This window comes from Homo sapiens, chromosome 8 (assembly GCF_000001405.40).
Source record: "Homo sapiens chromosome 8, GRCh38.p14 Primary Assembly".
Classification (NCBI taxonomy): Eukaryota; Metazoa; Chordata; class Mammalia; order Primates; family Hominidae; genus Homo; species Homo sapiens.
The window spans coordinates 4,526,587-4,542,689 of NC_000008.11; the positions used below are offsets into that span (position 1 = coordinate 4,526,587).

Below are 16,103 nucleotides of genomic sequence, written 5' to 3' on the forward strand. Positions count from 1 at the left end.
AACACTGATCATGTCTCTTTCACCAACTTGACATCACTCTTGGGAATTAACAAAAATTGTGTAATTTTTGCAAAATATCCTAGAAGTATTAGAAAACCAGAAACGTAGGGTTATTATAATTATCATTGCTTAAATTTGCTTTCATATTTGATAAATAACAGGTTACGTTAGCAGGGACTATGATTCTCCACAACCTGAATTTTCTTTCAAGATACTCTAACCCTGGAGAATAAATTTAATCGACAAATGTTTTTTTTCTCCCCCCAAGAAGACATAGGATATTTAGCCATGATTCCAGAAGACTATTGTGAATGATCAAACATGACTTCGTCAAGGTTAGACAATCCTGGTTTTCAGGGAATGGCTTCTAACCCAACTGTAGATACCATCTATCCACATCCTCTTACTTACAAAGTCTTTATAGAGCTATTGAGCTGTATAATATTTCATATTTTTCTTTCCCTTTCTTTGTGTGTCTGGATCCAAGACATAATTTTTTTCAGAAGCTTCGGAGGATTCTAACTTGCTTTTACTTAAGATATTTTTCAAGAAAGTTAAGTTACCCAATGACATAAGTGCACATATAATTCTTCCTAGATGCTTCCCAAATCAGATTTAGTTGTTTTGGCCAGTTGGGTTGCTGTAATTACATCAAACATTAGCATTAGGAGTCTTTTTTGTAGCATTTATATGATCAGGAATGAGCTGTGTAGCTGGTATATTGTTATATAAGTCTTCCTCTGCCCTTTACCCAAAAAACAATAAAATCTCACCAGAAAGTAAAATTTGTTTTTATACGGTCATTTTATACCTTTTTTCTGAACTTATTTTAGGCCATGCAATTGCCTTTACCTATCCTTCTGGCAGATCCTGTTTGCAAAGTTGGTGAGTTGTCAGTGTCAAGATATAAAGAATGAGTATCACTTTTCCAAAACGCAGGTTATCCGTACCAGCAGGTGTTTGTAGAGATAAGTGTTCTTTTGTACAAAGATGCATCTTGTGCTTAAGAAGTTGGTAGGGCCCCATATTGCAGCCATAGATCCCAGAACTATAGATAAAATTTGAATACTGAAAGTACATAGCAGAGAGTGGAACTTTATACAGTACATTTCTTTCTATTAATAGGTACACTGATAATGAAATGCATCATATACATGACTTTAGACACACTACAATCGTAGCTATTCATTCTTTTTACTGATGAATCCTGGAAAGTCTAATGCAGAAGTTAGAAAGATTAAGTTTTCAGCCTGTGTCTTTAAATGGAATGACGTCTTAGTTCTATGAAATCAGACTTAACAGGGGAAGATAAGGCAACCTACAGGGCGTGCCTGCTTCCTGAGGGTGTGCTGACTGGCCCAGGGCACTCTGGATTGTATTCAGTCTCTATAGAATCCATGGCTCTCACTCAGAGCCCTGGGTGTGGGATCATGTCAGTGCTTTGGAAAACATGCATCAAAGCCTAGAGCCTTTCCCACCACATTCAGCAGCATATGCTTCAGATGGGTTTGCATTTTGTGTTCTGGTTCTGACTTTCATCCTTTTAAGGACTATTTCTAAATACTTCTCAATGTCCTTGTTTTTGACCTGTATTCCTTGGTTCATGGCTGCTGTTTCCAACTTTCTGTTCCATCTTCAGTGATAAGACAATATCTAGACAGGAGTAGCCCCACAAGTCCAATTAATCCCTACCTCTCTAGAGAGCCATCCATGAACAGCAACAACAAAAGTTATTTTATAGGAATAAAGAAGGTGGGATCCAGGAAGTCACAGAAAGACATTCCAAGACTCTCAATCATGCCAGAAGGTAAGTGGAATATGCAAAACACATGTGGACTTTTACCATATCTACCACAGATATGAAAATACTCCATAAAATGAGAATCATGTAAGACTTAGAGGTCAGCTGTGTAGCATGGCGCCTAGAGTTAACAATACTTTGCTGTGTACTTACATTTGCTAAAAGGGTAGATCTTATGTTAATTATTTGTATCACAAAATAACAATAAACATAAAGCAAAAGGAAATTTTAGTGTTGATGTATAGGTTTATGGCATAGATTGCAGCAATGGTTTCATGGTGTACACCCCACAAACTCTCCAATGTATATATTAATTATGTACAGCTTTTTGTAGGTCAAAAAAATGTTTAAGTAAGATGAGAATGCTGCTGAATTTTCACATAAGAGCTCACTTTCTCTCTCTCTCTCTCTCTCTCTCATACACACACACACACCATGAAAACTTCTGTCTTTTAAGAAGTGTCCTAAGAAAAGGTATAGTACTAAAAATGTCTTAAGCTTTCCATGTTTGAGACGGGATTAGCTTGAGTTCAAGGAGTCATCTAAAATACCCCAGGGAACATACTGTATTTTTGTTAGGTCTTTGTGAGATTTATTAACAAAAGGTGACGTTTGTAAAATCATTTTCTTTGTGATGATATATGTGAGACGGTGTTTTTTTAAAAAATGATGATCTGAAAAGTTGATCAGAGGATAAAGAACTCTCTCTCATGAGTAACAAATCAGAAGCCACCAAACAGTGATTCTCAAAGTATGTTCCAGGGACCCTTTGGGGGATCCCTGAGGTACTCTCAGAAGCCATGAGGTCAAAACTCTTATCAGGACAATATTGAGAAGTCACTTGTCCCTTTCTTATTCTGTTCGGAGTGGACAATGTGGTTTTCCAAAAGGTACATAGTGCACAACATTACAACAGATTGTATGCAAAAAAAATTACAAGAATCCAGCTGTCTGCTGTTAAAGCAGGCATTAATATGTTTGCTCAAATGTAAATCAATACCACTTCTCTGGCTAAATTGTTTTCTTCTGAAAAAAATTACTTTCCTTAAAAATATGTTATTTCTTATAAATATGCAACTCATAAAATTTAATGATTTATAACTATTATTTAATTATGAATAAATTTCTAAAAATGCCTCTGTCTTCATTATTGACAGGGTAAATATAAGTAGATAAAACTTACATAAGCAAAAGCTCCTTGGGGGCAGTGTTGCCAGATTTAACAAAGACAAAAGACAACCACAAAATTGCAACAGGATGTTAAATTCCATATTAACAGCAAATTAGTTTTTAGTGTAAGTATAATTCATAGAATATGTGGCAATCCTACTATGGGGTTCTTACAAATTTTTCAGACTATAAAGCGGTCCTGACAGCAAAAGTTTCAGAACTGCTGCCGTAGAAAATCTTTAGGTACAAATTTTTCATTTAAATCAAAATTCGTGCATAGGTTACCGTCAGGTTGCTGCCCATGCTGCTGCCATTGTTTTTTTTTTTTAAATTTATTTAATTTTTTTATTTTTATTTATTTTTGTTTGTCTGTTTGAGACCGAGTCTCGATTTGTCACCCAGGCTGGAGTGCAGTGGCGAGATCCCGGCTCACTGCAAGCCCCGCCTTCCGGGTTCATGCCATTTTCCTGCCTCAGCCTCCAGAGTAGCTGGGACTACAGGTGCCCGCCACCACGCCCGACTAGTTTTTTGTATTTTAGTAGATACGGGGTTTCACCGTGTTAGCCAGGATGGTCTCGATCTCCTGACCTTGTGATCTGCCCACCTCAGCCTCCCAAAGTGCTAGGATTACAGGCACGAGCCACCGCGCCAGGCCTGCCATTGTTATTTGTGACTGCATACCATGCTCCATTTTGTGTCTTCATCATCCGGATTTAAATAAGCAAATATTGTTCACAGTTTATCGTACAGGTAGTGCTTTTTTTTTTTTTTTTTTTTTTTTTTTTTTACTTTCAGTGCTGGGATACACTTGCTGAACGTGCAGGTTTGTTACATAGGAATACATTTGCCATGGTGGTTTGCTGCATCTACCAACCCATCATCTAGGTTTTAATCCCCACATGCATTAGGTATTTGTCCTAACACTATCCCTCCCCTTTCCCCCGACCCCCTGACAGGCCCCAGTGTGTGATGTTCCCCTCCCCGTGCCCATATGTTCTCATTGTTCAGCTCCCACTTATGAGTGAGGAACATGCGGTACTTGATTTTCTGTTCCTGTATTAGTTTTCTGAGGATGATGGTTTCTAGCTTCATCCATGTCCCTGCAAAGGGCATGAACTCATTCTTTTTTAGGGCTGCATAGTGTTCCATGGTGTATATGTGCCACATTTTCTTTATCTAGTATATCACTGATGGGCATTTGGGTTGCTTCCAAGTCTTTGCTATTGACCCAGCAATCCCATAGCCAAAGGATTATAAATCATTCTACTATAGGCAGCGCTTTCTTTTCCTTATTTCCTTTTCACAAAGAAGTAAAGTCAGCCTCATTCATCCCATTATACCGGAACTACAGCTGAGCTTCGTTAAGTAATGCATGCACACAAAAAGACAGACCTAGTATCTGAGCCATACCCTCCGGCACCAAGATGTGAGGCAAATCACATGAACTGCCACCCCATCCTCTCTGCCGCTCTCTGTTGGATTACGTTGATTGTATGATACTCTATCATTTTTTGTTACTATAAAACTGATTAACCTGGCTGAATCATCGCGAGTAGAATACAGATATGTAACTTAACTGTGTGAGTAGGACATTTTTTGTAGGATCTGTCACCAAATGTATATATCGCCATGTAATCAGTGACGTACAGTTGTTTTGCCATTTTTAGCCACACTGATAGATGATCTCCTTACAGGCCATATGACAATCCATTAATTAAAACAACAAAAATAACTAAACCCGATGTGCCGTGGAATGTATTCAGGTCATTTAATCATAAGCTTCAAGAACAGAGTCTATAATTTGTATCTTGGGTATTGGAAAAAGTCTTGAAGTCAGATGATTTGGGTTTTAATCTCAACTCTATTGATTGCTTTCGGTGAGTAATTTGGTTACTGACAATATCTATGTGGCTTTGTTTTTGTCATCCCTATAATAAGTATAACGTCACCTGCCCTACACACCCCCAGAAGGTTGGAAGGAAGGTGTAACTACATGTTAAAGTGTTTTGCCAGATGTAAAGTCCTGTATAAGTGTAAGATGCGAGCTTTCTGCGCTCGTCAGGCCCTCATGGTGCACCATGGCCCCACGCTAGCTCTGTGTGCTTATCTAGTTTGTCAGAATCAGCACTTCTTTTAAACATTTTTGTAATAACAGCTTTGAGATACAATTCCCATACCATGAAATTCACTCTCTAAAAGTATACAATCTGGTGCTTTTTAGTATATGTGCAGAGTTTTACAGCCACCATCATAATCCCTTTTCAGAAACTTTTATCACTTTGAAAAGAAATCCTGCACCGCATTCAGTCACTCCGGAAGAGAAATCCTGCACCCCCATTCACAGTCACTCCGGAAAAGAAATCCTGCAAGCCCATTCACACTCACTCCAGAAAAGAAATCCTGCACCTCCATTCAGTCACTCCGAAAGAGAAATCCTGCACCCCCATTCAGTCACTCCGGAAGAGAAATCCTGCACCCCCATTCAGTCACTCCGGAAAATAAATCCCGCACCCTCATTCACAGTCACTCTGGAAGAGAAATCCTGCACCGCCATTCACAGTCACTCCGGAAGAGAAATCCTGCAAGCCCATTCACAGTCCTCCAGAAAAGAAATCCTGCACCTCCATTCAGTCACTCCGGAAGAGAAATCCTGCACCCCCATTCACAGTCACTCCGGAAGAGAAATCCTGCACCCCCATTCACAGTCACTCCAGAAAAGAAATCCTGCAAGCCCATTCACAGTCACTCCAGAAAAGAAATCCTGCACCTCCATTCAGTCACTCTGAAAGAGAAATCCTGCACCCGCATTCAGTCACTCCAGAAGAGAAATCCTGCACCCCCATTCAGTCACTCCGGAAAATAAATCCTGCACCTTCATTCACAGTCACTCTGGAAGAGAAATCCTGCACCCCCATTCACAGTCACTCCGGAAGAGAAATCCCGCACCCCCATTCAGTCACTCCGGAAGAGAAATCCTGCACCGCCATTCAGAGTCACTCTGGAAGAGAAATCCTGCACCCCCATTCAGTCACTCTGGAAGAGAAATCCTGCACCGCCATTCAGAGTCACTCTGGAAGAGAAATCCTGCACCCCCATTCAGTCACTCCGGAAGAGAAATCCTGCACCCCCATTCAATCACTTTGAAAAGAAATCCTGCACCCCCATTCAGTCACTCCAGAAAAGAAATCCTGCACCCCCATTCAGTCACTCCGGAAGAGAAATCGTGCACCCCCAATCAGTCACTCCGGAAGAGAAATCCTGCACCCGCATTCAGTCACTCCGGAAAAGAAATGTTGCACCCCCATTCAGTCACTCCGGAAGAGAAATCCTGCACCCCCATTCAGAGTCACTCCGGAAGAGAAATCTTGCACCTGCATTCACAGTCACTCCGGAAGAGAAATCCTGCACCGTCATTCACAGTCACTCTGGAAAAGAAATCCTGCACCCCTACTCACAGTCACTCCGGAGTTTCTCCTCCCTAGATCCCAGGCAACCACTCACCTACTTTCTGCGTCAAAAGATTTTTTGGTTCTAGATACATCATATAAATGGCCATCCAACATATGGCATTTTGTGACTGGGCTTCTTTCACCCAGCTAATGTTTTCAGGGTGTACCCACGTGGTAGCATTTGTCATCGTAGTACTACATTTTAAACATGTAAAGAGCTCAGTGGTGCTCCAAGAAGCAAGACTTTGGTAGAGACGGCCGCTTGCTCCCAAATATCATGCTGAGGAAGCCAAGTTGTCATGACACAAAGCCAAGGATTATCAGTAGTTTAGAGTTAATTCATTTGGAAAGGCTTCTGTATTTGATCCCAGAGCTGTGAGATCCATATGACCAGGATGGACGGACAAAAAAGGGGACTTTTGCTGTTAATCTACGTGAGCCCTGATGGGCAGAGGCCTAGATCCTCCTATTATGCTCTTGGAGTTTATCAACCCACTCTTGAAGAACATAGTACAGACCTTTTGGGAACACAATATTCTTGGGAATTTTTTTTTCAGTTTACCTAAATTATTAACCAATCCGAGAAGAGGATGTTAAACAAGAAAATAACCCACTAATGATGAAGATCTGGCAGACCCCAAAACGATGTCATTGCAAACTGAAGATTTTTAAAAACATCATCAAAAAGTTTACAAATGACTCACAGAGAGAAAAACCTAAAAATACAATGGAATTAGCAATAGTATTACAGTGGGAGTATTTTAATAAAAGTACACTGTAATTTTTCTGTGCTTCTATATTTTATATTTATATAAAGTTTTATGCCTATAAAGTGACAAATCTGCCCTTTTGGAGTGTATGTATGTGTATAAATAAATATATGTAATTCAATAGCTAGAATATAATATACATACACATATATTAATATATAATATACATATTTATATATATAAATATAAAATACACTACAAGAGGGCAGATTTGTCAGTCTATAGGTATAACATTTGTGGATAAACAGAACAGTCTTCCAATTTATAGATATTGTAATTCAGGCATATGTAAGGACACAATTATCTCAACAGATTATGTACACATGTACACAATCTTAAGCTATCTTAATGGCATTTGTCAGAACTTTTGAGCTGATATCATCAGAAAAGAGAAAGCATTCGCTAGGGAGCACAATTTAATAGAGCACACCTGCTATCTCAGAAAGAAATACCTTCTGCGTGGGCCTGGCCCCAAGGATGCTGAAGGACGCCCAAGGATGCTCAAGGAGGCCAGCCCGACTCATATGGCTTTCCTTTTCTTCCCTACTCTCTGGCTTACTTTGAAGCAATTTTTGCTATAAACCTCTGCCTTTGCATGGATGGTTTATCAATTGAAACTTGTTTTCACTCATTCACCTTTACTCTCTTGCCAGAGTATTTACAACTCATTAATATTTTTGTTATTGTTTTAAATGTTGCCTTTTATTTCAGATACAGCGGGGTACAGGTGTAGGATTGTTACATGGGTATATTGGATCCAGGTGGTAAGCATAGTACCCAATAGGTAGTTTTTCAACCCCTCCCCTCCTCCCTCTTTCCCCATTCTAGTAGCCTGAAATGTCTAATTTTCCCATTTTTATGGCCATGTGTGCTCAGTGTTTAGTTCCCAGTTATAAGTGAGAACATGTGGTATTTGGTATTCGGTCCCTGTGTTAGCTTGCTTAGGATTATGACCTCCAACTCCATCCACGTACAATTTCTTTCTTTCTTTCTTTCCTTTTTTTGAGGTGGAGTCTTGCTCCGTTGCCCAGGCTGGAGTGCAGTAGTGTGATCTCAGCTCGATGCAAGCTCCGCCTCCCGGGTTCATGTCACTCTCCTGCCTCAGCCTCCCAAGTAGCTGGGACTACAGGTGCCTGCCACCACGCCCGGCTTATTTCTGTATTTTTAATAGAGACGGGGTTTCCCCATGTTAGCCAGGATGGTCTCGATTTCCTGACCTCGTGATCTGCCTGCCTCAGCCTCCCAAAGTGCTGGGATTACAGGCGTGAGCCACCACGCCTGGCCAATTTATTTCTTTATGTGTTTTCTCTCTTATAGGACTAGGGTAGAAGATACAATATTAAAAACATAATCTCCCATATATAACAACTTTGAAAATTATATAATGCAGTATAATCTATATAAGGTATATAAAGAACTGCTTGAAATATCAATAACATAGTCAATAACTACATTTTAACAATTTTTAAATAATTTAAATGAATTTAATTTTAACCAAAATCACAGGGGGAAGTCAATTATTTGTTATCTGAAAAATAATATGTAGTTATAGAGAAAGTATCTTATTTTAGTTTATTTATTGCTATTTTTAGAATAACAAGTTACTTTTGTAGCGTCTTCCAAGGATGAACAATAGAATTCATTTGCTTATCTGCTTGTAGATTTGCTTTGCAATCATTATAAACTTAAAGATTTTGATGAAGTATATGTGTTTCAATCCATTGCCATTATCATTCTTTCGATGTTCAAATTTTTTATCTTGTAACAGTAAGAGCTCTCCAAGTTACTCGTAGGTTAACCCTAAGTCATCCAAGATAGCATCTCTGTTCTGTGAAATTATAATATAGTTCCAAATCATTCTGTTCATGATTTGCCAAAGACCTTGATTCAGCCATTTTCTGAGGAGCCCTGATCTCTTTATTTACAATAAGGTATTTGGAGACAATAATCTAAATGATCGCAGTAGTACTCATTGTTAATAGGTTAGTTCATGCTTCTAGGACTTTTCAGTGGAGCTATAAAAATATTTTCCCTTTCTTTAAAGGAAATACATCGTGAGTTCACACTCCTGCTTCCAATTCAAACTTAGGGTTACTGAGCTTTTACTTCTTTACTTTTATAATTAACTCTTTGTTGTTGATGTTTATAATAAGAATTGAGAAACTTAGATCTTAACAATGTTGATGTAATTATTTGTTTTATCTTAAAATAAATAAAAGTTTCAGAATATCAATGCCACCATTATTAACATTATTTTTGAAAACAGCTGAAAATTTCCTCAGTGTTTTCATAGGGCGTGCCCCACTAAGTCAGTAAATCTGATTACCATGTTCAAGATTCACTTGACAAGGTTCCTTTCTGTATATATAAACCGCAACTCAGTAAGTAAGGAGATTTGTTTTATTTGACTGCAAATTTTTAACGATGCTTTTGCATTTCATTTTAACCTATTCATAATTATGTGAAACCATATACACATATTTTAAATAAAATCTACAAACATGTTCTATTAAAAAAAATCTAGTTTTCTCCCTGTTTTCAGCACACACAACTTCCCATTTCCTGTGTGTAATATTTATTTGCTTGTATTTTTTAAATTTATCCTTACAATTTTAAATTTAATCATATATATACATATAGGTATGGATACTCTCAGCCATTTGTATACGTGAAGTTTCAGCCTAGGTGCATCCTTCTTGTACTTTCTCTACCTTGTCTTTTTCTCTTAACAAATCTCACATGTCATGATATTGTATACAGAGATATTGCATTCTCCTTCTTACAGCAGCATCGGACACTGTTGTGGATATCCTGCCGTTTAGTGGCTGCACAAGTGGATACTGAGAATAGGTACAGGTTATTTATTTATTCCTTTATTTGTACTTTGTTATTTATTTATACTTTTATTTGTACTAATGCCAGAATAAAAAGTTTTGAGTATATGCCACTTTTACTTTCAACAGCATATATTTTTGAATAGATTCCTGGAACTTATCTGCTGTGTCAGATCATAGCACCTGTATCATTTTATTAACATGCGGCCAAATTTCCTTTCACAAGGGGTGTCACCTTTTGCATTTTGCACAATAGTGCATCAGAGTGCCAGTTTCTCCAGACTCTCAGGGAGAAATTGTAAAACTGTGTAAAAATGTAAAATGTTACTTATTGGAAAAATGAGAAATGGCATATCATGATTATCATTTTCATTTCTCTTAACATATCATACAAATTTGAGCACGGTCTTATATTAAACATCAATAGTGGGTTATTTAAACCTGCTTAGACAATCAAAGACAGAAAATTCTATCAAAATAGGGAAATGTGAACTATTTTCAAATATGCATTTATATGTAAAACTGTATTACAATTTGGGTCCTCTTGTACTTTTCTGTCATGAGACTACTATTTATATATCAGCATTAAAGGGAAATATAATTTAAAATATTTGATTTAGAGGAAACTGACAAAATACAGTAGGTATTTTTAGAAATAAATTATCCATCTGGTAAAATGCTTATCTTTTTATAAATGCTGTTAAAGATGCGACTTAATAAATGCTAAAATGAGAGATTATTATATAAAGAAAGTTGTGCTAATTCTGTAGGGCAATGTAATATTGCATATAGCTTTTCTGTTTTGTGATTATTCCTATTATTGTTATTGTTATTAAAAGTCATATTACTAATTGCTATAAGGCTAATAGTCATATATTCCAGAATTTGGAACTGTATGTTATTACAGACTAGTTTTAATTGACTCTGATTAAAAAGATTAGTTTTCAAGTTGAAAACTTGCTGAACATTTCGTGGCCTGGGCTTTTCTCGGACCTACTGTTATCTGACACTATTCTATAAACATTTCAAATTAAGCATTGATTTGCATTACTTTCATTCTTCCTCGAAGACTCCATCAGGGTGTGCTCAGACAAAAGCATGGCTTCCCCCAGCGAAGCCACGGGAATACGCAGTGGAAGACCTACCTGGCCTCGAATCACCAGGCATGCAGCCGTTGCTGACTCTCAGGGCCGTGTTTATCCAACAGAGCTGCGTAAGATCCAGCAGAAGCAGCACTTTTTGCATTGCTTTGATCACATAGGATTTAGAATGCTTATTTTCTCATTAGTTATTCTCTCTTTGTGAGAAAAGCATTAACTTCATTAACTGGCTCTGACAAACCAATTTGCTTTTAACAGCTGTACTCAAAACCAGACACCATGCTCTGCGTCATGGTTTTCATCTGAATCACATAACTGAGTATAAATATAGCTGTCAATTGCTTCATCTCTCCAATAATTCTGGAGACATTTTCTTGCTAGGTATCAATAAAACCTCAAATAAAATAGACCAGAGCCTGTGATGTCATTTGGCACAGGTATACCATGACTCCGGTGTAACATGCAACTGGAGGTGGCTACATTTTTTTTTTTTTTGCCTGCTATTTACTGCCTTGATGTATGTGGCACCCTTATATTTTTCTAATCCCTCTTCTGCATTTATTTTGTTATCCTACCACTACGACATTGCAAATATTATAACTTCTCCAGAGTTCATATTTTCTCTTCAGGTCTAACTTTTTTTTTTAAAAGGCTGGGTGCGATGGCTTATGCCTGTAATCCAAGCACTTTGGGAGGCCGAGGCAGGGAGATCACCTGAGATCAGGAGTTTGAGACCAGCCTGGTCGACATGGTGAAACCCTGTCTCTACTAAAAATAGAAAAATTAGCTGTGTGTGGTGGCAGGTGCCTGTAATCCCACCTACTTGGGAGGCTGAGGCAGGAGAATCGCTTGAACCCAGGAGTTGGACGTTGCAGTGAGCCGAGATCGCACCACTGTACTCCAGTATGGACCACAAAGGAAGACTCCATCTCAAAAAAAAATGAAATGAAATGAAATATAATAAAATAAAATGTAGTACCAACCTGGATAAGACACTTGTCATACATCCTAGCAAGTAAACCTCCAAATTATTTGATGAAGGGATTTGATGAAGTTAGTGTTTACCCATTTTACAGATAAGGAAACAGAAGCTCAAAGAAGTAACTTGTTTTGGGTCACAAAGCTGGTGAGAAGGTAAAACTGATTTCTCAAATGTACAGTTCTTGCTTACCAAAGTTCCCCTTTTATGGAATCTTTGAATCTAAAAGCCCATATTGAATGCAGAAAGCTTTATTTTTTCAGCAAAATGCTAATTCTGGCTTCAGTTCTAATCTCAGCCAAAATAAATAAAATAACCTACTCCCTTGTCAGGCAACGTTATCCTCCATTGCCAGTGTTAGGTGCCAGAAAAATGTGTGGCTTTTGTTTTTCTTTTTAGAAATGTTACATAATGACCTTTAGCTTAGCATATTCTGTGGAAAAAGCTAAAAATGGATTTTTTTGTGGGTGAATTAACACACAATTTGAATTATTTTGCAGTATTACTGTATTTGAGGTTTGCCACTGCCACAAGTCAGCAGACACTAAATATTGCATTCAGCTTTCATATGCAGTATTTCTGGAAGATAGTATGCATATGTGGGATGTAAAATATATCTTTTAAGACATTTTCAGTCTAAATAGACTTCCCAATCTCTTTCACTAAGCCCATGGATCAGCAGGAATGTTTTTGGAGTGTTCCCACAGAATCATCATTTCATTTATGATGGCATTACATTTTTAGTCAGTCTTCAAAAACTCATCTTTGAAATTGTGTGAAAAAAATATAAGCAAATATCTTTCCCCCAAAATCCTCTAATATTTCATTAGCCTTACAGAATGAGTTAACATATTTAGCAAACTTCCAACATTTTTCTCATGTTACACTGGCTTATAATGTTAAAAGGGACTTAGGAAAAAAGAGTTTGATGTACCACAGGTGGACTGCAAATTTAAATGGTAAAATAACTGAGAATATTGTTTATTAAGATTATAGTAGGGGAAAATATCCTAGCTCTATCCTTGAATTATTGTGATTTTACGGAAACAAAATGTTTTATCTTTAGTCACTTAGAATACAATACTTTCTGATAGTTTTAATCTGGTTTATTTTCCATATGGGTTAAGCATTATGTGTATGAAATAGTTTTCCCAAACTCTTTTCTGGGTCACCTTCTGCCTCAAGACAGGAACCCCAGAGAGGTTGGGTGTGCGGAAATCTCAGGGCTGGATTTCTCTTCCCATCTACCCCAGCCCAAACTCCGCCCCGTCCAGGTGCTGCCTGCAGATGCCCATGGCTATTGAGCCGCTCACCGGGGCCCTCTTCCCCTCCTCACTCGCCAAGCAGCAAGCTGAACCTCCCCCGGCTTCTTTCTGTCATATTATTTTCAATACGATTATCGTGACACCATATATAAGCCCTATGAATATATAAACACCGAAAGTGGTTGGCGTGCAATGTAAAGCATGATGGACTCAAGTTAGGAATGAAGTTTGACAGGAGGGGCTGGGATTTGCTTTAAACTGCTGCTGGTTTGCTCAGATAATGTGGTAGATTCCAGCAAGAAGTAAAATAAGGAAAGATTTCTGCCCATAAACATCTCACCAAAATTTCAGAAATCACCACTAAAAAACTTTTCCATGCAACCAAACACCACCTGTTCCCCCAAAACTGGTGAAATAAGCATGAAAATTAAAAAATAACAACAACCGCGAAAATCTCAAAACCTCAGGCCGGGTGCAGTGGCTCATGCCTGTAATTCCAGGACTTAGGGGAGGCTGAGGCAGGAGAATGGCTTGAGCCCAGGAGTTCCAGACCAGCCTGGGCAACAGAGCGAGACCTCATCTGAAAACCTAATGGATGGGAAAGAAATGAAAACAGATTATTTTAATTAAAGATAATAAGCACTATAACAGAAGTGAAAATAAACCTTGAGAGGGGCCAGACATGGGAGCACCTAACAGTGTACAAAGGTCAGGAAAGGCTTCTTGGAATAATCCTGAGTTCACTGTAACTGCGGATGCTTACCAAGTGTCTAAGCTGTGCCAGGTACTAAGGGCTGTCCACTTACCTTAATCATCCCGGACCAGTGAGGTACCTTCTGTTATTATCCCCATTTTACAGATGATAAAACTGAGGCAAAAAAAGGTAAAGGCTCACCCAAACCAGCAACACAGGAAGTCTGACTCTCCGCCACTCTGCTAGTCTGCTATTTAATTTTATGAGGCTGTAGACTAAACTGAACAGCTATGATTCTTGCATACAATAGGGTTAATAGCACAGGTAAAGGGTCTGAAACATGAAAAGCTCAAACTCTTTAAATGCCTCATTTTACTTAGCAAAATGTTTCACAAACTCGATTGTTAGAAACTCTAAGGACATTTTTGTGTTTCCCCAAAATGCTATTGTCTGGAGAGTTGAGAATTATGAGAACTGATTTTTTTACCACCAATTTAAGCCAATAGTGGTGCCAGGGCTCAATTTCATGAATTTCCAGCTGCATCTAGGGACTGGAAGTCCCATCTCTGCTTTGCCAGTAACTACTGTGTGACTTAGAGTGAGCCAGTTCGTCTCTCTCATCCCCAGGATCTACTGGCACGTGCTGATCATAACTACCCCCATGCAGTTCTTACAGCAATTACAGTGGGTACTGCCTTTGAAGATTTTAATGTGTTAAAGTGTTTTTATAGTTTTGCTTATTTTGTAAGCACTGCCTTCACCTTTGCACTTCTAAGTGGGCTCCACTTGGATCAAGGTGTCCCACGTTATCAAAAATCGGTAGGCGTCGTGGCTCACACCTGTAATCCCCACACTTTGGGAGGCTGAACTGGGCCTATTGCTTGAGGTCAGGAGTTCAAGAACAGCCTGGCCACCATGGTAAAACCCTGTCTGTACTAAAAATGCAAAAATTAGCCGGGCATGGTGGCAAGCACCTGTAATCCCAACTACTCAGGAGGCTGACTTGAACCAAGGAGGCTGAGGTTGCAGTAAGCCAAGATCTTACCACTGCATTCCAGCCTGGGTGACAGAGTGAGACCCTGTCTAAATAAATAAATAAATAAGATAAAGAAAAAAAGAATCACTCTTATATCACCATGCTTGACCAAAAATAATAATAATAAGTGGAATTCTCAATAAATCCTGACAAAACTGTACAGTCAGCAATATGAAATGCCAGGGAAGGGATGGAGGCTGGAGGCGCCGCACCTGTAGCTGCACTCTGTCCATTTCTATAGGATGAATGTTGGCAGGCGATGAATTTCCAGATGAGGCCTGACTGACCTCAGATGTGGAGGAAGAAATGCTGTGAGCCACACTCTGTTGCCAATTGAAGCAAATGTGGTCCCAGAGCCTGAAGTCCCCGTGTGCAATGGGCGCCCTCTAGCTTCTTACCAAGTGAAATATATGCTCATTTCTGGACAATGAACTCAACAGTTTGGGCAAGTAAACACTATACTGAATCCACATTCTTAGAACTCTTAGTTCTAAGTCTTCCTCAAACTTTCTGAATAAAAATATGGCACAACTTGTTTCATGGAAGAAAGAATCAAGTTAAAATACCTTTTTTTTGAAATATTAGGATAAACACAGTCAACAAAACCCATGAATATGTTAATATAAATTGTCGTTCTCCATAACAGAAAATAAAAGATACAAACTTACTAACAAAAAAAAAGTTTTAATTTTTAAGTTTTCTCTTCAGAAGAATAACCATTAAAAATCTCACTAGACACTGACGTTTTATAGAACACAGTTCTGAGAACAATGGGATATTTGAATAGATCACCAAATCAATTTTTTAAAAAAGCACAATTATTGAAGCCTCCTTTATGAATGCTGTTGCAAATTAGAAGATAAAAGGGTGCTGTCATTTTTGCCCAGTATTTTATGTTATTGCTAACGCAATTTTTTTCAATGTAACTTCTTCACTTTGCTCCAATGCAAGAGAATGGAGATTAACAGACTATATCACCACTGTATCTTATGCGGCAGAAGATAG

The 16,103-nt window shown here is 38.4% G+C and overlaps 1 protein-coding gene and 1 long non-coding RNA gene across 4 annotated transcripts in view; one reads left to right on the forward strand and one right to left on the reverse strand.

Moving 5' to 3' along the window:
* Positions 1-16,103, reverse strand: part of CSMD1 (CUB and Sushi multiple domains 1) — a 2,059,554-nt gene that overhangs the window by 1,591,226 nt on the left and 452,225 nt on the right. The window lies entirely within an intron of this gene.
* LOC105377789 (uncharacterized) lies at positions 1,623-11,556 on the forward strand. Its single transcript, XR_941368.3, has 3 exons — positions 1,623-1,807; positions 9,976-10,040; positions 11,094-11,556. It is a non-coding gene; the product is annotated as an uncharacterized LOC105377789 (long non-coding RNA).